This window comes from Homo sapiens, chromosome 11, assembly GCF_000001405.40.
Source record: "Homo sapiens chromosome 11, GRCh38.p14 Primary Assembly".
Taxonomy (NCBI): domain Eukaryota; kingdom Metazoa; phylum Chordata; class Mammalia; order Primates; family Hominidae; genus Homo; species Homo sapiens.
Window position 1 is genome coordinate 34,700,176 of NC_000011.10, and position 27,654 is coordinate 34,727,829.

The 27,654-nt window shown below is 38.3% G+C and overlaps 1 long non-coding RNA gene and 1 pseudogene across 1 annotated transcript in view; both read left to right on the forward strand.

Annotated features, from left to right (window-relative positions):
- The window catches only part of NDUFB8P3 (NADH:ubiquinone oxidoreductase subunit B8 pseudogene 3), a 36,042-nt pseudogene extending 25,953 nt beyond the window's left edge, over positions 1 to 10,089 (forward strand).
- LOC102723568 (uncharacterized) overlaps positions 1 to 27,654 on the forward strand; it is a 185,086-nt gene that overhangs the window by 7,582 nt on the left and 149,850 nt on the right. Inside the window, exons 2-4 of the long non-coding RNA XR_007062652.1 lie at positions 14,519 to 14,632; positions 14,882 to 15,059; positions 26,889 to 27,049. This is a non-coding gene — a long non-coding RNA (uncharacterized LOC102723568). The remainder of the gene's footprint in view (positions 1 to 14,518; positions 14,633 to 14,881; positions 15,060 to 26,888; positions 27,050 to 27,654) is intronic.

Below are 27,654 nucleotides of genomic sequence, written 5' to 3' on the forward strand. Positions count from 1 at the left end.
TTTTTGAGGAACCCCCAAACTGTTCTCCATAGTGGTAGTACTAATTGACATTCGCACTAACAGTATATAAGTGTTCTCTTTCCTCCACATCCTCGCCAGCATTTGTTATTACCTGTCTTTTGAATATAAGCCATTTTAACTGAGATGAGATTATATCTCATTGTAGTTTTGATTTGCATTTCTCTGATGATCAGTGATATTGAGCACCTTTTCCTATGCCTGCTTGCCATTGTATGCCTTCTTTTGAGAAATGTCTATTTATATTTTTTGCCCATTTTAATTATATTATTATATTTTTCCCTATAAAGTTGTTTGAGCTCTTTATATATTCCAGGTATTAATCTCTTGTAAGATTGGCAGTTTGCAAATATTTTCTCCCATTCTGTGGATTGTCTTTTCACTTTGTTGATTGTTTTCATTGCTGTGCAGAAGCTTTTAAACTTTATGTGATTCCATTTGTTCATTTTTGCTTTAGTTGTCTGTGCTTGTGGGTTATTACTCAATAAATTTTTGCCCAGAACAATGTCCTGGAGAGTTTTTCCAATGTTTTCTTGTAATAGTTTCATACCTTTAAGTCTTTCATCCATTTTGATTTGATCTTTATAGATGGCAAGAGCTAGAGATTGAGTTTCATTCTTCTGCATATGGATATCCAGTTTTCCCAGCACCATTTATTGAAGAGATTGTCTTTTCCCCAATGTATGTTTTTGGCACCTTTGTTGAAAATGAGTTCGCTGTAGGTGTATACATTTATTTCTGGGTTATCTACTCTGTTCCATTGGTCTATGTGTCTGTTTTTATGACAGTACCATGCTGTTTTGGTTACCATAGCTCTGTGGTTATAATTTCAAGTCAGGTAATGTGATTCCTCCATTTTTGTTCTTTTTGCTTAGGATAACTTTGGCTATTCTGGGTATTTGGTGGTTCCATATAAATTTTAGTATTGTTTTTTCTATTTCTGTGAAGAATGTCATTGGTATTTTTGTAAAGATTGCATTGAATCTGTAGATTGCTTTTGGTACTATTGATGGCAGCAGTGGCCCATCTGGAGTGGCTGCTGCTAAGATACTGGCTGCAGCAGAGGAGGCCTGGGCAGGGCTGTTTGCTCTGTGGGGCCCGTGGGAGCCAGGAATGGGTGGGAGCCCCACCCCCGTCCGAGTTGGTGGGGTGGGAGCCCCGTGCTCCCAGGTGCAGCTGTAGCTGCCCAGCTATGTCTGCTGACCCAGGCATCCTTGTGGTCTTGGGGACACAGAAAATCCTCCTACCCCAACAGGTTCAGAAGTGCCTGCTCCCACTGCCTGGGCTTTTCCCAATCCTGGTACCCACTCTGATTTCAGAGTAGAGTTGTGGCTGAGCCTGGGTGCTGTCACTACCTGGTTGGGTGTGCCTGCACTCAGGCCGGTACTGACACACAAATCCCCTACTACTGAAGCCTAGGGTAGCTGAGGGTGACTTGGCACAAGATTGCAGGTTCCCCTTGGCATGAACAGCCTGGGCATCATGAATGGTGGCAGGAGGCAGACAGGCTCCTGGGTGGAAATGGGCAGGTCCTTGGTGAAACTCCACCTTTAAGCCAGGGATGGCCTGAAGCCTGGGGGCCAGGCTACTAGTTCTGTGGACCAGAGTGAGAACTTATTGTGCTTTTTCCAGGCCCACCCATGGCCACCCATGGACCAGTCAGCTTGTACTTCCTCCCCTCTGAAGCCCACAAAATCTCTGGATTCAGTCAGACTCGGGCAGATGACAGGATGACCTGCTTGTGGAGAGGAGCTACCCACTCTGGATCTCCTCTCTGCTGAGGGCTGCACACTCATTGGGATGACCTGCCTGCACATAGAAGGTACTCACTTTGGCTCTCCTGAAATCTGTACTGTCACTCAGTAAAGCATCACTTCACCTTGCTCACCCTCTAGTAGTCCACATCTCTTATTTTTCCTGGACATGGGACAAGAACTCAGGACCTGCTAAATGGCAGGGCTGAAAGAGCTGTAACACAAACAGTGCTGGAACACACCTTCCCCTCGCTTGCCACATTGCAGGCAACAAGAAGGAGAAAAGAGAGAAGGACAGAAGCACTGTGGCCCTTTGGGGAGCCCAGACATAGGAGCTCCCTGAGCCAGGGCTGTGAGACCCTCTTTGGGGTTCTGTGGTTCCTGGCATCTCCAAGCTTCTGGGTGCTGCCACATTTCCCAGTGACCACAGTGGAAGCCGCTTGCGGTATGTCTGGTCCAGTTGCAGCAGGGAGACAGTGCTTACGCTGGTGCCTGGAGCTGCCTGCCCCACTGCAGCCAGAGTGTCTGGCTGTGTGCAGTGGCCAGACCCTGTACTCGCTGCTCATGCAAGCCTCACCACACCATTCCTGGCTTACCCTTGGCAGGCATGGTATCCAGGCTGGTAGTGAAAGCCCAGCGCAGTCTGCCAGGTCGAATGGGTGGAATGAGCCCAGTGGGCCCAAGCAAAACTTGGGCAAAGGTGCCACTGGCCACAGAGGTTTCCAGCTGGCAAAGCAACATCCTAAGGATCCTGTGACAATATAGACATTTTAACAACATTCATTCTTCCAATCAAGGAACATAAAATATCGTTCAATTTTTTGGCATCCTCTCTAATTTCTTCCATTAGTGTTTTCTAGTTTTCAGTACAGAGATCTTTCATTTTTTTGGTTAAGTTAATTCCTAGTTATTTAATTTTATGTGTGGCTATTATAAATGGGATTATTTTTAATTTCTTTTTCAGATTGTACACTGTGGGCATATAAAAATGCTACTGAATTTTGTATGTTGATTTTGTATCCTGCAACTTTACTAAGTTTGTTTACAAGTTCTAATTTTTTTTGGTGGAGTCTTAAGGTTTTTCCAAATATAAGATCATATCATCTGCAAACAAGGGTAATTTGACTTATTCCTTCCCAATTTGAATGCCTTTTACTTCTTTCTTTCTCTTGTCTGACTCCTCTAGCTAGGATTTCCAGTACTACACTGAATAATAGTGGTGAAAGTGGGCATCCTTGTTTGCTCCAGATCTTACAGAAAAGACTTTTAGTTTTTTTCCCATTCACTATGATACTAGCTGATGGTCTGTCATATATGGCTTTTATTATATTGAAATATGATCCTTCTATACCCAGTTTTTTCAGTTTGTTTTAATCATGGCAGGATGTTGAATTTTATCAAATGCTTTTTCAGCATCAAATAAAATGATTATGTGGCTTTTGTCCTTCATCCTGTTGATATGATGTATCACACTGATTGATTTGCAAATGTTGAACCATCCTTGCATCCATAAAATCAATCCCACTTGGTAATTATGATCTTTGTAATATATTATTGAATTCAGTTTGCTAGTATTTTGTTAAGAATTTTTGCATTAATTTTTATCAGAGATGTTGGCCTGTAGTTTTCTTTTTTTGAACATGTCTTTGTCTGGTTTGGGTTTTAAGGTAATACTGGCCTCGTAGAATGAGTTTGGAAGTATGGAAGTATTCCCTCCTATTTTTCAAAACAATTTGAGTAGGATTAGCATTAGTTCTTCTTTACATGTTTGGTAGAATTCAGCAATGAAGCCATCAGGTCCCAGGTCTCTGCTGGCAGACATTTTATTAATGGCTTTGATCTTGTCAATTGTTGTTGGTCTGTTTAGGTTTTGGATTTCCTCATGGCTCAACATTGGTAGGTTTTATGTGTCTAGGAATATATCCATTTCCTCTAGGTTTTCCAATTTATTGCCTAAGAATTATAGTAGCCATAATAATCCTTTGAATTTCTGCATTATCAACAATATGTCTCCTTTTTTAATATCTGATTTTATTTAGGTCTTCTGTCTTATTTCCTTTGTTAGTCTGGCTAAAGGTTTATTAATTTTATTCATCATTTCAAAAAACAAACTTCATTTTATTGATCTTTTGTATTGTTTCTTTCATTTCAATTTCATTTATTTCTGCTCTGATGTTTATTATTTCTGCTCTGATGTTTATTATTTCTTTTCTTCTACTAATTTGGGGTTTGGTTTTATCTTGCTTTTCTAGTTCTTTAAGATGCATTGTTAGATTGTTTATTTGAAGTTTTTTTTATGTAGGCACTTATAGCTGTAAAATTCCTTCCTAGTACTGTTTTGCTGCATCCCATAGGTTTTGCTATGTTGTGTTTCCATTATCATTTGTTTTAAGAAAATTTTCAATTTTCTTCTTAATTTCATCATTGACCCATCAGTCATTCAGGAGCACAGTGTTTAATTTCTATGTGGGTGTATAGTTTCTAAAATTTCTCTTGTTATTGATTTCTATTTTTATTCCATTTTGGTCAGAGAAGATGCTGGGTATTATTTCAATTTTTTGAATGTTTTAAAACTTGCTTTGTGACCTACCACATGGTCTTTCTTTGAGAATGGTACATTTTCTGAGGAGATGAATGTGTATTTTGCAGCCAGTGGATAACATCATATGTAAAGATTAATTAGGTTCATTTTTTTCTATAGTGCAAATTAACTGTGATGTTTCTTTGTTGAATTACTGTCTGAGAGGTCTGTCCAGTGCTGAAGATGGGGTGCTGAAGTCTCCAGCTATTATTATATTGATGTCTATCTCTCTGTTTAGCTCTAATAATATTTGCTTTATATATCTGGGTGCTACTGCATTGGATGCATATATATTTAAAATTGTTTTATTCTCTTGCTGAATTGAGCCCTTTATCATGTTATAATGACCTTCTTTGTCTCTTCTTACAGTTTTTCCTTGAAATACATTTTGTCTGATATATAAGTATAGCTACTCCTGCTCTTTTCTTGGTTTCCATTGGCATGAACTATATTTCCATCCTTTATCTTTAGTCTATGTGTATCTTTATAGATGAAATATTTTTCTTGTAGCAACAGATCATTGGGTCTTGCTTTTTATTCGTCCAGCTACTTCATAGTTTTTTATTGATATTTTAGTCCATTTACATTCAATGTTATTATTGAGAAGTAAAGACTTATGCTTGCCATTTTGTTATTTGTTTTCTGGTTGCTTTGTGGTCTTTTCCTTCTTCTCTTCCATCCTGCTTTCCTTTCAGTGAAGGTGATTTTCATTGGTGGTATATTTTCATTTCTTGCTTCTTATTTTTTGAATATCCATTGCATGATTTTTACTTGAGGTTACTGTGAGGCTTGCAAATACTATGATATATTTTAAGCAGATGACAAATTAACACTGATTGCATAAACAAACAAACAAAAGGAAACTAATAAAAACTCTACCCTGTAACTTTGTCTCCCACTTCTTAACTTTTTGTTGTTTCTCTTTGTCTTATTGTACCATGTCTTGAAAAGTTGATATAGTTATTATTTCTGATGGGTTTGTTGTGTAGTCTTTCTACTTAGGGTTTAGTTTACACACCACAATTACATTGTCATAATATTCTGTGTTTTTCCGTGTGCTTACTCTTACTAGTGAGGTTTGTACTTTCAGATTATTTATTATTGTTCATTAATGTTCTTTTCTTTCAGATTGAAGAACTCCCTTTAGTATTTCTCTCTCAGCTTTTGTTTTTCTGGGAAAGTCTTTATTTCTCTTTCATGCTTGAAGGATATTTTTGCTGGATATACTATTCTAGGGTAAAACGTTTTTTGCTTCAGCGCTTTAAATATGCCATGCCACTCTCTCCTGGTCTGCAAGGTTTCCACTGAGAAGTCTGCTGCCAGATGTATTAGAGCTCCATTGTATAATTTTTTTTTTCTTGATGCTTTTAAGAACTTTTCTTTATCCTTGACCTTTGGGAGTTTGATTATTAAATGCCTTGAGGTAGTCTTCTTTGGGTTAAATCTGCTTGGTGTTCTATAACCTTCTTGTCCTTGAACCTTGTTACCTTTCTCTAGGTTTGGGAAGTTTTCTGACAGTATTACTTTGAATAAACGTTCTACACCTATATATTTTTGTACCTCCTCTTTAAGGCTAATAACTCTTAGATTTTCCCTTTTGAGTCAATTTTCTAGATCTTGTAGGTATACTTCATTCCTTTTTCTTTTGTTTCCTCTGACTGTGTATTTTCAAATAGCCTGTCTTCAAGCTCACTCATTCTTCTGTTTGATCAACTCTTCTATTAAGAGACTGTGGTGCATTCTTCAGAATGTCAATTGCATTTTTCAACTCTAGAATTTCTACTTGATTTCTTTTTCATTATTCAATTTCAATCTCTTTGTTAAATTTATTTGCTAGAATTTTGAATTTCTTATCCGTGTTATCTTGAATTTCTTTGAGTTTCCTCAAAACAGCTATTTTGAATACTCTTTCTGAAAGGTCACATAGCTCTCTTTCTCCAGAATTGCTCTTTGGTGCCTTATTTAGTTCATTTGGTAAGGTCTTATTTTCCTGTATAGTCTTGATGCTTGTGGATGTTTATCAGTTTCTGTGCATTGAAGAGTTAAGCATTCATTGTAGTCTTTACAGTCTGGGCTTATTTGTGCCCATCTTTCTTGGGAAGGCTTTCCAGCTATTCAGAGAGACTTGGTCCCCAAGCCCCAAATTGCTGTGGTTCTTGTAGACTTGTACAGGTACCGCCTTGGTGGTTTTGGATAAGAGCTGGAAGAATTCTCTGGATTATCAGGCAGAGACTCTTGTTCTCTTCCCTTACTTTCCCTCAAAGAAATGGAGTCTCTCTCTCTCTGTGCTAAGCCAACTGGGGCTGGGGTGAACCTTTGTGACCTTTGTGACCACCACCACTGGGGCTGTGCTGAGTCAGACCTAAAGCCAGCATAGCACTGAGTCGTGCCCAATGCCTGCTGTAATCACTACCTGGCTATGGCCTATGTTCACTGAAGGCCTTCTTTGGGCCCTACAGTCAGCAAGTGAGGAAGCCAGCCAGGCTTATGTCCTTCCCTTCTGGCCCAGAGCAGGTCCAGAAATTCTGTCTAAGAGTCTAGGCCTGGACTCAGGAACCCCAAGAGCCTGCTTCATGCTCTACCCCACTGTGGCTGAGCTGTTATCTAAAGTTCAAGACAAAGTCTCCTTTACTTGCACTCTGCTTTTCTCAAGCAGAAGATCTTTCACCCTAGCCACCACAGCTGGGAATATACTGGGTCACACCTGTAGCCAGCATGTCTCAGAGTCTCAACCAAGGCCCATGGTGTACTACTTGGGTATTCTTATTCGTTACTCAGGGCCCAAAGCCTGTTTAGTCAGCAGGTGATTAATTCTGTCAGGATTAGTTCTTCCCTTTAAGGCAGTGAGTTTCCTGCTGGCCCAGGTTGTGTCTAGAAATGTCTGTGAACTAGGGCCTGGAATAGGGGCCTGACAACTCTGCCTGGTGCACTATCCTATTGTGGATGAGCTAGTATCAAAGACACAAGACAAATACCACTTTACTCTTCACTCTCCTCTCCTCAAGCAGAAGGAAGGAGTTACTATCATTGCTACAAGCTGCACTGCTTGGGTTTCACAAGCTTGGGTTTCACAAGTGGTGGCACAAGCAACACCCTTAGCTGCCCCAGCTGGTGTCTTCCTAGGTCACGTGCTGCCTTAGTCTACTGGCTGTAAGTCCAGCCTTAGCACTAGGCCTCGCCTAGAAATTGCGGTACTTGTGTCCTAGACTGCATTTCAAGTTTACCTAGAACCCAAGAGCACTTTAGCCTGCAGTGGCAAGTTTTGCTGAAACTCAAGTTCCAACCACTGGGATGGGCAATTTCCCTCTGGCTGGGGCTGGTCCACATGCTCCTTCTGTGAGTGGGTGCCAGCTGAACCAAGCAAGGTTTTGCTCCCTGCTGTGACAGGGCAGCACTGAGTTCAATGCCAAGACCCCTAGTCACTGTGCTTGCCCTGCCTCAAGTGCACAGATTGTTTCTCTATGCCATGTGGCCACTGCCAGGGAGTGGAGGAGAAGTGGCATAGGCAATTCAAGACTGTCTTTCCTACCCTCTTCAATGTCTCTTTCAGCAATATGAAGTTAAAATCAGGTACTGTGATTGCTCACCTGATTTTTGTTTTTTGTGATAGTGCTTTTTTGTGTGTAGTTAGTTGTTAAAATTTAGTGTTCCTTTGGTGGGGGGATAATTGTTGCAGGCTTCTGTTTGGCCATCTTGCTTTGCCCGCTCATTTTCTTGATAATCTGTACCTTTTGTCTTTGTTCTTGATCAGTCTAGATATGTCAACTTCAATACTCTTTTCAAAGAACAGCTTTGTTTTAATCAATTTTCCCTATAGTTTGTCTATTTTTTCTCATTGAATTCTGTCTTATTTTTATTATTTTCTTCTTTCTTGTTATTTTGGGTTTAGTTTGCTTTTATTTCTCTAGCTTACTAAGGTAGAAGCTTAGATAAACTATCTCACATTTTTCTTCTTTTAAGGTATACATTTAATAATATAAATTTTCTTATTATTACTACTTTAGCTGCAGCTTTAAAGTCTTCATATTTTGTTTTCATTTTTATGCAGTTAAAATGTTTTCTAACTGCCTTTATGATTTTTTACTTGACCCATTAATTGCTTAGAAATGTATTGTTTAATTTACATATGCTGTTCAGTTTCCAAAGTTGGCATTATGCAGATGTCTTTGTTATCAATTTCTAATTTCATTCCATCTTGTTGAAAGAACAACTCCATATGATTTCAATGCTTGTGAATTCATTGAAACAGATTTCTATCTCAAAATATGGTTTGTCCTGGTGAATGTTTTATGAACAATGGAAAAGAATACATATTCTGCTGTTGTGTGTAGTTCTATAAATGTCAATTAGGACAGGTTTGGTTAATAGCCTTTTAAAAGTCATCTATATCTTTACTGATATATCTATTTTTGTTATCAATTATTGTGAGAGTAATGCTAGTGTTTCCAGCTATATTTGTTGATTTGTCAATTTCTTTTATTTTTAGTTTCAAATATAGGTTTTGCATCCTGTATTTGAAACTTTTATTAGATGTATTCACTAAAATTAAGATTTTTATTCTTGATAAATTGACCCTTTTATCACTATGAAATGTCTCTTCTTGTTTCTGGTAATATTCCTTATTTTAAAGTCTGCTTTGTTTGATTATAATATAGTCATTCTGGACATCTTTGACTAATGTTTCATGATGTATTTTTTTATCCTTTTATTTTAATTTACCTGCCTTTTTTTTTTTTGGACAGATTCTCACTCTTGTTGCCCAGGCTGGAGTATAATGGCACGATCTTGGCTCACTGCAACCTCTGACTCCTGGGTTCAAGTGATTCTCCTGACTGAGCCTCCCGAGTAGCTGGGATTACAAGCATACACCACCATGCCTGGCTAATTTTTGTATTTTTAGTAGAGATGTGGTTTCACCATGTTGGCCAGATTGGTCTCAAACTCCTGACCTCAGGTGATATGCCTGCCTTGGCCTCCCAAAGTGCTGGGATTACGGACGTGAGCCACCGTGACTAGCCCTGTGTTTTTTTATTTGACCTAGGTTACTTTTAGACCTAATATAATTTTGGGTGAAGTTGGAAGTAGCCAGGGCAGGGGTCCTGGGAATCTAGTGGCTACAAAGGGCAACCCAGAATGTGGTGTCATTGAGTGCATGGCCATCCTTCCACATGATCAAGGACATGCCCCTGGGGTTCTATTCCAAGACCCCAGAAGAATGGGCCACCGCTGCCAAGAAGTATAATATGTGTGTGGAAGACTATCAGCCTTACTTGGATGATGGCATGGAGTATGGTAACTACTCAAAGTTCTTTGACCATTCACAGTAGGAGAGGGATCTGTGGTTTGACTGGGACCACCAAGACTTGAGGTTGAACTGGGGTGAACTGATACACTGGCATCTGGACAAGTATATCAGGAACCATGTGGATATGGCCCTCCACCCCTGTTTCTTGGAATATCATGTTCAATAATCTCTTCAGCTTCCTGACCTTCATGAACTTTATGTTCTATGTAGTGGAGAATTATTCTACCTACCAGCCTGTGGGGCCAAAGCAGTATCCTTTTAATAATCTGTACTTGGGACAAGACAGTGATCCACCAAAGAACCTGAGCTAGTGTTTCACTATGAGATCTAAGGGCTTCATAAGCTTTTGTGCCCTCTACCTAGGACTCCTTAATTCCTAGAAATTTAACTTGAATGAAATCTTTAACAAAACTTAGTGCCATAGGAAAAAATATATACATGTATATGTACATACATAGTTTTTTCTTACTTTCTTATTCATTCTGAAAATCTCTGCCTTTTAAATGCAGTGTTTAGACCACCTACATTTAATGCAATTATTAATTTGATAGTTGTTAGGTCTATTATCTTATGATTTGTTTTACATTCATGCCATGTATTCATTGTTGCTCTTTTCTTTTTCTCATGTCCTATCTTCTTTTAATTAATTTTTTTATTTAAATTTGTCTTTAGTTTTATCTTACTATTTATTCCTGTTTTAACTTTTATTTATACTTTCAGTGCTTAATGTAAAATGTGCAATAATAATCTGCAAATTCTTTCCTACTGTTCTTTGTTATTGTCATAGAATTTATTTTTGTTTGTTGTAAAATCCACAACACATTGATATTACCTTGGCATTAAACAGACAGCTGTTTTTTAACAAAATAAAAAAATAGAGTATAAGTATTTTATTGCCTTACATGTTTAATATTTTCAGTTCTCTTTATTTCTTAATTTATATCCAAATTTATTTATTGTATTAGTGTTCTTCCTCTCAAAGAACTTCTATATCAATTCTTATAATGAAGATGTAATGGTGGTAAGTCTTACCAGCTGTGCTTTGACTGAAATATATTTACTTTATCTCCATATGTGACAGATGTTTTTGCTGGGCTTAGAATTTTAGGTTATCAAAAGTTTTTCAGAGTTTAAAAATGCTATTTTCTCTTCTCACTTGCCTAGATTCTAACAAAAAGGTTACTATCACTCTGATCTTTGTTTCTTTGCATATAGTATGTATACATATTTTAAAGATTTTTCAGATCATCTTTAGTGTTCAGCAATTTGAGTACCACATGTCTTTGTCTTGTATTGTTTGTGCTTGTCTTTCTGGGTTTCATTGAAGTATTTGGATCTGAGATTTATTGCATTTGTAAATATTTTGGCCATATTTCTTGAAAAAAAATTTACCGTTTCTTCTCTTTATAGGACTCCAATTACTTAAATATTAGACCACTTAATATTGTCCCACATGTTACCGAGACTTTATTTCTTTTCAATATTTACTCTCTGTAAGATTCACTGTGAAGAGTTTCTATTGTTCCATCTTCTAGCTCACTAATATTTTCTTATGAAGTGTCTAATCTGCTGTTAATCTTATCCAATGAATTTTCTATTTCAGATATTGTTTTTATTTCTAAAATTTTTATTTGATTTAAAAAATATTTTACATTCCTCTTTCACTATTTTATGTTTTCCTTTAAATATCCGAACATAGTTAAAATAGTGGTTTTAATGTTCTTTTCTGCTAATTATATCATTTTTGTCATTTATGGTCTGTTTCTGTTAACTGATTTTTCTCTTGGTTATGGATCACATTTTCCTGCTTGCAATGTCTAAGACATTTTTACTGGATAATATGATTTATGTGTTGTCCAATATCTGGATTTTGTTGTTTTTCTTTACTTTAATGAGTAAGGTTTTCTTCTGATAGGGAGTTAGGTTTCTTGTGATTCAGTGTTATCTTTTTCAGCTTTGTTTTTAAGCTTATTAAGGTGGATCTAGCATAGCCTTTATTTTAAGAATCATTTAATTTCAAATAAGTTGTAGCTTCATTAATAAGTTTTTGGGGATCTTTACTGAATGTAAAAAGTGATCAGTGAGAATTCTCTACTCTGTTTGAAGGTGGAACCCTTCCTCTGTATATGTAAGCTCTGGGAACCATTCTTCTCATAGATTCTTACTTACTCTTTGACCCAACTCAAGAAGTTTAACTCTATGCATGTGAATCCTAGTATTCAGGAATAGTCAAGAGAGTGTTGATATGGTTTGGCTTTGTGTCCCCACCCAAATCTCATGTCAAGCTGTGGTTGTCAGTGTTGAAGGAGGGGCCGAGTGGGAGGTGATTTAATTGTGGGGGTGAACTTACCCCTTGCTGTTCTTGTGATAGAGTTCTCATGAGATCTGGTTGTTTGAAAAGTGTGTGGGACTTCCCCCTTCTCTCTCTCTCTCTTTCCTGCCCACCATGTAAGACATGCTTGCTTCCCTTTCACCTTTTGCTATGATTGTAAGTTTCTTAAGGCTTCTCCAGCCATGCTTCCTGTACAACTTGTGGATCATGGGTCAATTAAACTTATTTTCTTCATAAATTACCCAAGCTCTGGTATGTCTTTATAGCAGTGTGATAATGGACTAATATAGAAAACTGATATTGAGTAGTGGGGCATTGCTATAAAGATACCTGAAAATATGGAAATGACTTTGGAACTGGGTAACAGACAGAGATTGGAACAGTTCGGAGGGCTGAGAAGAAGACAGGAAGATGAGGGAAAGTTTGGAACTTCCTAGAGATTTGTTGAATGGTTTTGACCAAAATGCTAATAGTGATATGGATATTGAAGTCCAGGCTGATGAGGTCTCAGATGGAAATGAGAAACTTCCTGGGAAATAAAGTAAAGGTCGTTCATGCTATGCTTTAGCAAAGAGATGGGCAGCATTGTGCCACTGCTCTAGGGATCTGTGGAACTTTGAACTTGAGAGAGACGATTTAGGGTATCTAGCAGAAAAAATTTCTAAGCAGCAAAGAGTTCAATAATGTGACCTGGCTGCTTCTAACAACATATGCTTATATGCATTCACAAAGAGATGCTCTTAAATTGGAACTTATATTTAAAAGTGAAGCAGAGCATAAAAGTTTGGAAAACGTGCAGCCTGACTATGCGGTAGAAAAGAAAATCCCATTTTCTGTGGAGAAATTCAAGCCAGCTACATAAATTTGCATAAGTAAAGAGGAGGAGCCAAATATTAATAGCCAGGACAATGGGGAAAATGCCTCTAGGGCATTTCAGAGACCTTCACAGCAGGCCCTCCCATCACAGACCTGGAGGTGTAGGAGGGAAAAATAGTTTCATGGGCTGTTCCTGGGGCCCTGCTGCTCTGTGCAACCTCAGAACATGGCTCCTTTTGTCTCAGCTGCTCCAGCTCCAGTCATGGCTAAAAGGAGCTAAGGTACAGCTCAGACCCTTGCTTCAGAGTGTGTAAACTCCAAGCTTTGGCAGCTTCCACATGGTGTTGGGCCTGTGGGTGCACAGAGGGCAACAGTGGAGACTTGAGACCTCTGCCTTAATTTCAGAGGATGTATGGAAACACCTAGATGTCCAGGCAGAATTCTGCTGCAGGGGCAGAGCCCAAATGGAGAACCTCTATTAGAACAGTGAGGAGGGCAAATGTGAGGTTGGAGCCCCCATACATAATCCCCACTGGGGCACTGCCTAGTGGAGCTGTGAGAAGAAGACTACCATCCTCCAGAACCCAGAATGGTAGATCCACTTGCAAACAGCTTGCACCGTGAGCCTGGAAAAGTTGCAGGCACTCAATGCCAGCCCTTGAGAGCAGCCATGGGAGCTGAGCCTTGCAGAACCACAGGGGCAGAGCTGTCCAAGGCCTTGGGAGTCCACCCCTTGCATCAGTGTGGCCTGGATGTGAGACATGGAGTCAAAGGAAATTATTTTGGAGCTTTAAGATTTAACAACTGCCCTGCTGGGCTTTGGACTTGCATCTGACCTTTAGCCCCTTGGTTTTGGCCAATTTCTTCCTTTTGGAAAGGGAGTATTTACCCAATGCCTGTACTCACATTTTATCTTGAAAGTAACTAACTTGTTTTTTATTTTATAGGCTTATAGGCAGAAGGGACTTGCCTTGTCTCAAATGAGACTTTGGACTTGGACTTTTGAGTTAATGGTATAATGAGTTAAGACTTTGGGGGACTGTTGGGAAGGCATGATTATGTTTTGAAATGTGAAAAGGACATGAGATTTGGGAAGAGCCAGGACAGGATGATATAATTTGGCTCTGTGTCCCCACGCAAGTCTCATGTCAATTTGTGGTTCCCAGTGATGGATGAGGGGCCTGGTGGGAGGTAATTGAATCATGGAAGCAGACTTATTCTTTGTTGTGCCTTATGATTGATTTGTCATGCGATTGGTTGTTTGAGAAGTGTGTGGCATTTCCCCACCTACCCCCACCTCCTGTCCACCACGTAAGATCCGTTTGCTTCTCCTTTACCTTCTGCTATGATTGTAAGTTTCCTAAGGCCTCCCCAGCCATGCTTTCTGTAGAGGCTGTAAAACCGTGAGTTGATTAAACCTCTTTTCTTCATAAATTACCCAGTCTCAGGTATGTCTTTATGGCAGTGTGAGAACAGACTAATACAGATATCTGTTCATATTTTTGTAGCTCTTTTTCTGTAAAGCTTTCTTCTCTTCAGAACTCTAGCACAAAACTTCCAACCACCTCAGCTTTATTGAACTCCAGTATCAAAAACTCATCAAGACCACTGCATACTTATCATGATCTCCTTCCCTGTGTTGTAGTCTAGAATGTTTTTCAAGAAAGACAGGACACTCATAGGAATCATCTTTTTTGTTTCTCTTCTCTCAGGTATTACATTTATGCACTGTCTGCTGCCAAAGATCTGAAACCAATGATCTCATATATATGGTACAGTTTTCTAGTTATTTACAGTGGGAGAGTAAATTATCCATGCTCAGAAGTGTAAGTCTTGTATGTCTTATTTTAAAAAGTTTCTTAGCTTATTCAGATGCATGATCAGGGTTGGGAACCACTCAAAAGTTTTCAATTTTATATTAATGGGGTCTAAGGTGGGTGGAGAGATTGGTGGATGAAATGAATGAACAGATGAGAAGTTAAATATACATAAGGGTTGACTATATGGATAAGTAGCAGAGCCGAATGTGCAAACACCTATTTACTACCATTCATTTTCTCTTGATCCTTTTGCAGAGTGTGTACTAGTCTCAGTAAGTCAATGGGTTTCCCTGGATCCAGGCTTGGAGAAAATGTTTTCTCTTCTCTATCTGCAATTCTCCTGAACCAATTCTGACGGATAATATGACTGTGTCAACCACAAAAGAGGAAAAGAATGGGCTTTAAATCCCGCCTTTACAGCCATCCAAGGCAGGTAATACTGGAGAATTAGGGAGATATGATGTTTTAAAGTACAGATTCTGTCTCCTTTTACAATACTAAACCCTAGATCACTGTTCTCTGATTGACTTTACCGGTTTTGTTGTTGTTGTTGTTGTTGTTGTGGAACTGCATCAGAATTTTCTATCTAGGTTAAAATGCCATTCTACCTTACAATAGCACCAAAGGACTAACTAAACCCTCTATGAAGTGATTCTCCAAAGGAAACTGATAGCCTGCCCACTCTATCCAGTCTGTAGATATTTATTTTTGCCTTCAGTATATTTTTAAAATTTAAACTAGTCACCAATTCTTAAAAATAGAGACATTTAACATCACATTTTAAAAATCTAATTTCCAGCTTCTCTTCAAAAATCGTTAAGCCTTGGCCACATTCCAACATGGCAACATTTCACAGGAGCCGTGTAGTGATGTCTTTTTCTAGACAAACTCTGTGATCTCCATTTTCCACAGTTTCCACCCAGCTAATTTCATTCATTTATGTTGTGTTTTAGTCTCTTTAGCATTTGCATTTGAGGTCTTGGCTCTAAAGATTAAGCGTGAAAATTCTTGATAAAGGTAGAAAAATTAAGCCATATCACAAGAACATCCTCCCTCAAATACCTCACAAAATAAAGAAAAGGAGTTTTGAAAGAAGCATAAAAATTTATCAGTTATACAAAGAAAGAGTATAATATCATGTCAAAAAATTAAAAGATAGCAACAAGAAAAGAAAGAGAAAATCCTACGACAACTCAGCATCATCTTCCTTAATCTCACCACTTCCCTGAATAATCAATGCTGGAGAAAGAATGCGAGCAGGTATATTTCTGAGAATTTTCACTATGATCCTCTAATTTAAATAGAAGCAAAATGAGGCAGCAACAAGGCAGCTCAAGGAAAGTTATGTGAAATACCAAGGAGAGAAAAGCTCCTGCCTGCCCGAGAAGAATCTCAAGATGTTAGCAAAGGCAAGTAAACACATAAGAAGTCACCGTTTTAAAGATCCCACATAACACTGAGAGAATGAATTCTACTATCCAGACCTCATATAATGATAATATATGTATTTAAAATAAATAAAAGTCATAAACAGTAAAAAAGAATAATTAAGACTGCATTTCAGATGAAGCATTTTTACATAGGAAATCCTAAGAAATCTATAAAATGACCATTGTAATTAATATGTAAACTTAGCAAAGTCACAAGATGAAAGGTTAATAGTATACAAAAATCAATTATATTTGATAAATCAGAAGGAAATAATTAGAAAACAAAAATTTAGATACAATTTTATGAACAACTTCATTAACAAACATAACATTTTTATAATTAGACTAGAATATGTGTAGGATTTCTACATTGAAAACTATAACACTGATGCGAGAAATAGAAGAAGAATTAAGTAAGTGGAGAAATATACTATGTTCATAGATTGAAAAAATTTAATTATTAAGATTTTATTTTCCCCAAGTAACCTATAGATTCAATGCAATTCCAGTCTCAATCTAAGCAGGCTTTCCTGTAGAAATTGACAAGGTGATTCTAAAATATATATGGAAATGCAAATGACTTAGAATGTCCAAAACAATCATAGAAAAAATCAACCTTGTAGGACCTATGCAAAGTTTGAAGCCTTATTGTAAAGCTACAGTAATTAAGACTATGGTATGTGGATAAGGATTTTACTAATTTTCTAGGAGTATGTAACGAAGTACCACAAAACAAACTGGGCGTTTTTTACAACAGAACTTTATTGTCTCACAGTTCTAGAGGCTGGAAGTTGAAATCAAGGTGTCAGCAAGGCCCCGCTCCTTCTGATGGCTCTAAAGGAGAAATTCTTTCCTACCTCTTCTTAGCTTCTGGTAGTTTTTGGCAGTCTTTGGTGTTCCTTGGCTTGTAGATGCATCACTCTGCTATCTGCCTCTTCATCACATGGCTGTTTTCTGTGTGTCTCTGTCTTCACATGCCATCTTTTTATAAAGATGCCAGTTATATTAAATGAGGGGCCACCCTACCCCAGTATGACTTCATCTTAACTTATAAAATCTGCAACAACCCTATTCTCAAATAAGGTCACATTCTGAGGTGTTAGAGTTTAGGTTAGGACTTCAACATATGTTTTGGGGGTAACACCATTCAACCTCATTATAGAATCAACAAATAGATCAATGGAACAAAATAAAGAGCCCAGAAACAGACTTCCAATTATGCAGTTATCTTATTTTTCAGCAAAGGTACCAAAGCAATCCAATTGCCCATGGGAAAGAACTTTATTTTAAATAGATGGTGCTGGAATTACTGAACTTCTATGCGAAGCGCCCCCAAAAATACTTATACAACAGTGTTCATAGCAGCTTAATAGCTAAATATTAGAGACAGCCCAGGTGTCTGTCAATAGGAAAATAGATAAAGAAACTGACCTATAATCACGTTATGAAATACTACATTCATATTACTCTATTATCAAAAGTAACAAACAACTGCTACATGCAACAACTTAGTTGAACTTCAAAAAGATGCTGTGTGAAAAGAGTACATACTGTATGATTTCATTTATATGAACTTCTACAGGGTTCATTTAGGTAAATTAGGTAAATTCAAGCTAAGGTGAAAAATATCAGAAACATGGCAAGGGGTTCAGTGGCTGGAGTGAATGGGAAGAGATCGGAGGAACTTTCTGGAGTGAATGCAGCACTTTCCATGTTGATAGGTATTTCAATTAAACATGTGTATGCATCTGCTAAAATGTAGTGAATGTACTTTTGAGATTTGGGCATTTTGTTATATGTCAACTTTTCTTTCAAGAGAAAATACTGTAAATAAATACAGAACTATAGTTAATGATATGCACGCTGAATTATTTTGATGAAAGTGAACAGTAGTTAATTTACTTTGACATGTGTCAAAAAAGAGAGACTGATGGATGACTATAAGTATGGATAGATGGATAAATATATGTTAAAACAAATATGGTAAGATGTAAGATGTTTAGGATAGAATCTAAGTGTTGAATGTATGGGGCATACACTGTAAAATTATTTCTACTTTCTGTACACTCAAACTTACCTGATGGTGTATGATGTCCTACACACCAGTTATTCATTCAATGAATATTTATTGAATGTTTACTATATGCCAAGCACCATTCAGGATAACAAGAATAAAACAGTGAATGAAACAGGCAAAGCCCTGCCCTTGTGGAGTTAACATTTTATTTGGGAGAGACAGATAGGAAACTGATTTTTTAAAAGGAAATATACAACATGTCCAATGGTGGTAAATGCTATGGAGGAAAAAATAAAGCAAGGAAAAAAGAATGAGAGTTACAGAGAAAGGTGGTGTGTATATCTGTGGAGGCTACTATTTCATGTGGACTATTAGGAAAGGCCTCAATTATAGAATGACATCTGAACAACTGTCTGTAGGAGTGAAGAAGCAAGCCACAAGGTTATCTGGGGAATGTTTAAGGCAAAGGAATTAGCAGGAGCACAGGCTCTGAGGCAAGAGCCCCCTTGATGGATTCAATTAAAAGAAGGCCAATGTGGCTGGAGCAGAACAGGAGAGAGACAGGGTAAGGAGGAATGAAGGCAGAGAGGTGATAGAGCCCATCAAACAGGGCCTGCAGGCCATTGTGAAGGCTCTGGCTTTCACTCTAAATGAGATACAAAGCTCTGTTTTATAAACCCTATTTATAATATAAGGTTTTAAGAAGTTGACTTTGGCAGCTCAGTTGATAAAGATGGGTGGTGGTGGGAGTGAGGAAATGCAGGGTCCAAGAGCAGAAGCAAGAAGGTCACCATTATAATAATCCAAGTGAGAGATGATGTTGGCTTGAACCACAAGAGCTAGTGGTTCATCACAGTGAAGGTGATGATAAATGATTAGACATGTCACCAGACTCTGGATATATTTTGAAGATATATGTAATTTGTAGTGATATATGAAAAAAAAAGAGGAGACTGGCATGATAAAGATTTTGGCCTGAGAAAATAAAAGGATGAAGTTGCCAGTACCTGAGCTGGGGAAGATGTGAGTGCAGGTTGGGAAAAAGAAAGGAGCTCAGGTTTGGACATGAATGAGATAGATGCCTATTAGACATTCAAATGCAGATGTTAAGTAGGCAGGTGGGTATACAAGACTGGGATCAGAGGCAAAGTCTGAGCTACCAATACAAATTTAGGAGTTGTTGGCAGAAAGATGACATGAAAGTTATAAAACTGGATGAGATCACTTCAGGAAGGCATGAGTGTAAATAAAGTAGTCTGAGGATAAAGCCCTGGCTGTTCAACCATTGAAAGCATGGGGCTGATAAGAAAGAACCAGGAAAGGAGCCTGGGAAAGACTGACCAGGCAAATGTGATGTTCTAGAAGAAATTGTTTTGCCTAGGACAGAGTGATCAATCATGTCAAACACTGCCGTGGGACAAGTAAGATGATAAGAATTGACCACTGGATTTAGTGATGTGGAGGTCATTGGTAACCTTGGTATGGGACAAAAGCCTCCAAGACAGAACTTAGACTTAAGAGACAGCTAGAATAGATTATATTGTAAAGAAGAGCATGTGCCAGTGACTAGACTAGATAGGAATGCAGGTCCAGGAGAGAGTTTTTTAAAAAAGAATATAAGACAATATATTTGTATATTTATGGCAATATCCAATAGAGTGGTCGAATTTCATAATGTAGAAGAGAGAGGGGAGAATTGTTGAGTGAAGTTCTTGAGTGGTGAGGGCAGAGATCTAAAGTATAAATGGAGCATTGGCCTTGTATAAAAATATGGAGAAGAGCAAGAGGGAAGGAAAGATATATAAGTTCAGATGCAGGTGGCCGGAGGTGATGGGAACATGCAGGAACTCTCTTCCAAATGCTTCTATTTTCCTTGTGAAATAGAAAGAAAGATCATCAGCTGAGAATGAGGGTGAGATAAAGATGCATAAGAGGCCTCTGCCCAGAGAAGCGCCCACCCTAGAAAAAAAGAAAAAGACATATATACAGCCAGTTACTCCCATGATGGGTAAGAAAATGGAAATTTGAAAAAAGTACTGTGGAAACACTGAGGTGGAAGTCATTAACAGTACTCTTATTTGGTCAAGTGAAAGTTATGTCATGTTTTCTTCATGTAGAGATAACATTCTCCAGGCAGTAATAATATTCTAGAAAAAAGAAACTACCAGAGCAAAGGCTCTTTTTTCCCTTCATGTCAATAAAAGTATTTTAAGCAACACTGTATTGAACATCCTGTTAGCAAAATCTTTACTCACATCCTTAACTATTTCCTTAGGATAAATTTCTAAAAATGGAATTTCTGGGTCAAAAACTCATTTTTTGGCTTTTGATGTATTCAGAAAGACCTCTGGATTTCATAATTAGAAATTTTATGGATGATTACATAAAATTTTCACAAGTAATTCAGTTTGACCAGTAAAAGGTAGAGGATATTCTGGATTATGGCAGATAAGACTACAGAGAGTAGTTTGAATAAGATTGTGAGGGAATTTTAAAATATGTTAGATTTTATCCTACGGAAAATAGAAGACCTCAACGTCCTTAAGTAGAGTGAATAGCACTGTTTGTGCTATTAGGGACATAACTTTAGGGACCATTTGGAAGATGAAGCAACTTCTAGCAGACTATCTGCTCAAGTATGATCCCTACTGGCTGCTGACTGCACCCCTCCTGAAGGCTCCACTCTGGCCTTTCTCTGGCTATGACTCTCCCTGTAAGGTGAAGGGTCCATGAAACCAAAGGAAAGGACTCACCAGGAGCTCATATCCTTCCTTCAAGGCCATGCTTCCAGACCCAATAGTTCCCTGCTCAAATAGCCTTGAACATGCTTCAAGGGCCTACAGAGACCTCTTCTCTGGGTCTATTCTCCTGAGGATGAATCTCCTGCATCTCTGGGAGAGGTAGCCAAGGGGCATCAGTTTTTCAGAGGTATGATGCAGCTTGGATGTGTGGGCTAGGATATTTACACATGTGTGCATGCGAGACATTCTTGGTGCAGGATGAAGCCAGGGGTAGGAAGAGAGGAGGGAGAATTCCTGGAGCATGGTAGGGGATGGTTCTTCCTGAGCCTCCATGTTGCAAGATGCTAGAGAATTCCAAATTGTAACCCGCCCTTCTCTGTTGTTTTCAGTGTGTATTTGTCAAGGTAGGGGGTAGAACAATTGTATTTAATAGTATGTGAGCTTAATTTATACATTTTAAATACAGGTATTTAGAGATATGGAATGTGGACCTTTATTTTAACTCTTACTCTGAGCTCACCTGAGTATCCCCCAACTCTAGATACCTTGTCTTGCAACCTGGCATGGTTTGGGGGCAGATATTCCTTGGAATTCATTCCTTATGGAAGGAGCAAGAAAAAGGTTAACCATACCACACTGACTCCCTGCCTGCAGATGTGGACAGTTGGCATTATTCAACATGGACAAATCAAGTTACATAGCTCAGGGCTTTTTATTTCATGCCTAGTCGGTGGGTTGACAGTGCAAAGGAAGCTCAAAAAGGTCCTGGGTCTTGGCTACCTGTCAGAAACCCCATGAATTTGTGGTTTTGCAATGCTGATTTTTCTAAAACTCTTGGTAAACAAGTTTGAAGTTTTTTCTGATGTCATTGTAGTTTCCAGTCTGGCACAATCTGGTTGTAACTTTGCCACAGAAGTAAATTGTGGTTAAACTGGGATTCCACATGGCAGGATCTTGCCAAGCTGAACACAACATATCACTTGCCCTCATGTAGCTCACAAACATAGACAATGAAGAGATATACGCTAAAATAAAAATGCAAAGGGCAGTAAAGTAAATTCCAGACCAAGGGAGCCTCCATGGACAAAACCTCTGGGAAAGAAACAAGTTCTTGACATTTTGACAGATAGAGGTGTTGGGGATAGGCGAGTGATAAGGAGAAATCACACAGAGGGAACAGTTGAGCCTAGGCATCACTGTGGCTCTGTTCAGGGGATAATGATTAGTTCAGTGCTGCTGTAGCAGAGTGAGTGGAAGGAGTGGGTGAGTTCCCTGTGCTAGCTCTGGCCTCAGGGGCCTTCCTATAAGCTATTCTATTTGCTGAGATGCTCTTCCCACCCATGCACCACAAAAGTTTGCCAAGTGTCTCACAGGGCTTCTATCTCTCCTTCATGATACTTATCACAATGTAATTAAATAATTAATAATGCAATAACTTGTTAACATTTGTCCCCCTTTGCTAATATGTACATTCCATGAAGAGCAAGATTATATTCACCTTGTTCATGGCGATATTCCAACTACTCAACATGGAAATTTGCACAACATAGGCATTCTAAAAAAAACTTTGGATAATAGGCTGGGCGCAGTGGCTTACGCCTGTAATCCCAGCACTTTGGGAGGCTGAGATGGGCGGATCACAAGGTCAGGAGATCGAGACCAGCCTGGCTAACACGGTGAAACCCCATCTCTACTAAAAATACAAAAAATTAGCTGGGCGTGGTGGCGGGCGCCTGTAGTCCCAGCTACTCAGGAGGCTGAGGCAGGAGAATGGCGTGAACCCGGGAGGCGGAGCTTGCAGTGAGCCGAGATTGTGCCACTGCACTCCAGTCTGGGAGACAGAGCGAGACTCCGCCTCAAAAAAAAAAAAAACAAAACAAACAACTTTGGATAATAAATAAATGTATGAATGAATGAGTTAATAAATAACATATATGTTAATTAACAATGCATTAATTGATTGATAAGGCTGAAAGAGTGGGTTGCAGTTAGAATGTGGAGGTACCTGAATGAAATTCAAATGAATTTGGACCTCATTTGCAAACAATGATGTTTTATTCATTTCCTTTACAAACTCCAATAAATATCCACTTATGTGTTTATTTTCTGCCAGGCACTTTGTTAAACACTGAATGTAAAATGATAATTAAAACACTCTGACTGGATCTTGCAGAACAGTAGGAGGTAACAGATAAAGAAATAACTGTAATAAAAAATGTGAGAGATCTTTATTAAAGCCACATTCCCAGTATGTGAGAACACAGACAATGGACTAATGTATTCTGCTTCAGGAGGGAGTAGGGCAGTGAATGTCCCCTAGAAGAGACAACATCTCACCAAGGAATTTAAAGATAAGTGGGGGTTTTACAAGAAGGAAAAGAGGGGAAAGGACATTATGGGGATTTATATTTTCAGCAATATAAAAGACTAGATAGTGTAAAAAAATCCTCTGGAAAAAAAAAGCAAGAAGAAAAAAGAAAAAACATAAGTGCCAGATAAAATATAAGATAAAACTCTTCTAAGCAACTATTAGCTGCTATTACAAGAGAAGAGATTCTCTTAGATGCTGTATTAGTCTGTTTTCACACTGCTGATAAAGACCTACCTTAGACCGGAAAGAAAAAGAGGCTTAATTGGACTTACAGTTCCACCTGGCTGGTGAGGCCTCAGAATCATGGCAGGAGGGAAAACGCACTTCTTACAGGGTGGTGGCAAGAGAAAAATGAGGAAGAAGCAAAATTGGAAATCCCTGATAAACCCATCAGATCTCATAAGACTTAATTCACTGTCAGGAGAATAGCATGGGAAAGACCAGCCCCCATGATTCAATTACCTCCCCCTGGGTCCCTCCCACAACACGTGGGAATTCTGGGAGATATAATTCAAGTTGAGATTTGGGTAGGGACACAGTAAAACCATATCAGATGCTAAATGCAAAGTTGAAATATAAAACCGTGGAGAGAAGTTAGCACTAAGTCTGTCAACTTCTCCAATAATCTATAACCTATATTTGTTTACTTGTTTGTTTTTGACACCTGCATTTGTAACAAATGAAGACAAGGGATAAGGGATGAAGAATGCTCAAAGTGGAAGTAGGGAGAGAGATTCTTACATAAAATTAGGATCCCGAGAGGGCTGCTCCTTCAGTGAAATATCATCTATGAGAAAAAGATACACCCAATAAGAGGGGCAAGGAAGGAGGCATTTCTAGCTTTGGCTCTGGATAGAGGGAAAAGTTGTTTTCCTCAGGGGTTCATATCTACAAGTAAGTCTTCCTATGGGCTTGGATTCTAATTCATATTCTCTGTTTGTTACAAAACACCTCAAACCAAATATTAGTTGTTCCTGAGTTAGTTCTTTCAACTACTGGCAGGAGCAAACACTAACCCTCTCTAGTGGATTGCCATTGAAAACCAACCACAAGAATATCCATAGGTAATGTTTTAATGATCATATAAGTAAAATCAAAATATATATGAGAAAACAAACCACTATAAGTGAAAAATAGGCCTACAAAGGCTGAAAATACTTGACTCATAGATACAGAATAGAAATTGTACATTGAAAATATGATGAAAAATGTGACTAGGCAGATTTGGATAATAATTAAATAGAACTTCCAGAAATAAAAAATGCAGTAATGAAAATCAATATTCTTATAAAAATTAATATCTCCTAGCTGAAGAGTTAATTATTTAATTTGAAGATAGATCTGAATAAATTACCCAAAATGCAGCATACAGAGATCAAGACGTAGAAAATATAAAAGAAATATTAATGAACATGGAAGGCTGAAAGGGGAAAATGGTGTTTGTGATACACTGAGAGAAGCTAATATATGTCTAATTGGTGTTGCAAAAAAAATTAAAAAGATTAGGAGAAAGCAATATTGAGAAGACATACACTAAGAATCTCCCACATTTTAAGAAATACATCAATTAGATTCAGAAAGTTCAACAAATTGCAAAGAGTAAATATAAAGAAAATCAATAGCTAAAATCATTGCAGTAAAATGCACAGTGCCTAGGAAGAAGGGAAAGTCTTAAAAACAACCAGGAAGATAATTGATAGAGACAGGTAATCTATAAGCAATTAGACTAGGATTAAACTTCTGAAAAGAAATAATGAAAGACAGAGCACAGGAATATCTTTGCACACTGACAGGAAGTAAATATCAACCTCCACTTACATACCCAGCAAAACTAAGTTCAGGAACTTGCTTGAGAGGTTCTACTTCTGGAGATGCAGTGTGAGGGGATTTGAAGAACTTCTCTCCAGTGAAACTACCATAACTGGAGAAAATTATTTTAAAAACCATCCATTTAAACTCTCAGAAATTGTCTGGAGGTTATACAGCGAATAAAGCAACATTTATTTAAGAAAATTTACTAAATATCAGTAAAAACAGTGAAAGTCTTAGCACCAGAGCCGTGACTTGCTTCTTTCCTGTCCCCAACTCATCGTGATGTCAGTACCATTCTGGGTGATTTGGCAAAGAAGACAAGGCTTCCTCTTTCCCAAGTCCTCAGTCAAGGGTGACATGTGGTAGGCAGAATAATCCCCCCACTGCCAACGTCCACATTCTGTTCCCCAGAACCTGTGACTATGTTACCTTACATGGCAAAAGGAACTTTGCAGAAGTGATTAAGTTAAGGATATCGAGAGAAGAGGAGAGTATCTTGGATTACCCAGGTGAATCCAATGTAAACAAAACCTTTTAAAGTTGATTGACTCAACATATTATAATAAAATCTGTTCACCAAAGGGCATTATAGAGTGAAGGACAAGCCACAAAGCAGGATAAAATATATGCTATATGTATAACCTACAAAGAATTAGTATCCAGATTATCTAATATATGAAGAACTTCTACAAATCAAGAAAAAAATTAAAAACCTAATAGAAAAGCAGCCAGAGCTATGAATAGGCATTTCATTAAGAAGGTAACACAAATAGCTAATAACCTATAGAAAGAGACTTAACCTTATCAGTTGTTAGGAGAATGCATATTGAAACCACAATGAGACACCATTTCACACTACTAAGTTGGAAAAAATGTAAAATGTTCACAATGCAAGTGTTGGCTAGGAAGTAGAGTAATACAAACTATCCTGTGCACAGGTAATAGTGTAAATCAGTACCGCTTTACCTAGTAAAGTTGAAAATGCTCCTCACTATAGGAAACACAAATTCTACTTCTAGGTATATAATATAGAGACACTCTTGCTCATAGGCCCCAAGAAAACATGAATAAAATTATTTATGAGTAAAGGTGGCTTATAACAGTTTAACATTCATGTAAAGGAGAATTTGTAAATAACTATTAAAAAAAAGAAAAAGACAACACTTGGTAGCTTTTGTGTATTGATGACAATGCCTCTTAACATGAGCTTTAAAGATAGGCAGAACTGGGTTTGAATTCTGGCTCAATTGTTTACCAACTATATGACCTTGGGCAAGCTGTTTATATTCTCTAAGCCTTGGTCTTTGCCTCTGTAGACTGAATATATGAGACCTATTTTACAGATTGCTGTGAGAATGAGGTATAGCATATGCAAAACACCTGGCACATAGTAATGCTTTATGAATGCTAGCTATTATTACTGCTCTGTTGAACATACTGGAGTGACCCACTAAGAAAAGAAGGAAGAAGAAAGGTGCCAGCTACCTACTGAGCATCTCAAACATTTCAGTTACTCTCCAAAAGAAGGAAAGATAAAGCCTTGGGGGCTGGGTAAATTCAAATCAGAAAAGACTCTTCCCTTCAAGTAAAATGTGAAGTGTGGGTACGAGAGTGTGGTGGAAAGGGCACAGGATTTAGAGACTCAGGATCTGCATTTGAGTCCTGCCTCCACTACATATTAGATCTAAGGGCCATGTACCATTGGGCAAGTCATTTAAATTCTCCAGATCTCAATTTAGTCTATGTGAAAAGGAAAGAATAGGCACCAGGCTGCTATGAGAATTAGGAGAGAAAATAAGCACAAAAATTCCATTCTAGAAAGAACTGTATGAAAGCCTTAAAATCAATAGCAACAATATGTTTCTTTCTATTTTCACCCTTCTCTTTACAGGATTCCTCCTTCTGCACCTTTTTGGCACTGTTTCCTTGAGCTCTCCATCCTATCCATCGAAAGTTACCCATCCCAAATCCTATATCCTCAGCAACTTTCTGGACAACTGGCTGATCTGAAGAACCAGTTCATACTCGTCTATCTTGTTATTGTGTTGACTAGTATGTAGGCACTTTAAAGATGAACCTCCAAGTGGGAAAATTCTTTAATGAAAATGCTGACAAATGCTCAAATTCATAGATGTTGTGGCAGACTGTTGGGTAAGACCCATAGGGTCAAACAAGGCTTCCTTAAATGACACAGCAGAGGCATCTGGAACAATAGAGATAATATTCAAATAGCATTTTATGCTGCACAAAGAACTTCCATATCTGTTGTCTCAGTCCATGTTTACATCAATCCTGGGAGGGAAAACCTGAGATAGGGTTTGTGACGCCCAGTTTTGTAGATGAAGAAACTGAGGTTTAGGAGGTTAAGAAACTATCACCCACAAGGTCACACATCTATCTATGGCTGAGTTTAGCCATGCCTTGCTGGTGTTTTCCCTCCCTATCTAGTCTCTAGAACATTTGGGCACACCTATCATGTGGACCACCCAAGAAAATGTGTGGAGTCATCACAGACCAGTTCTTCTCTTTAGTGTTTGGTGTTCCCATTTCTTAGGTGGTCAAATTGGCAGGTAGTGCCAGCTAGCAGCCTAGAAAAAACAATTACAAACTGCTGCTCCTTGTACAACCCAATACATGCCACTAGCGCCCTATAGGTT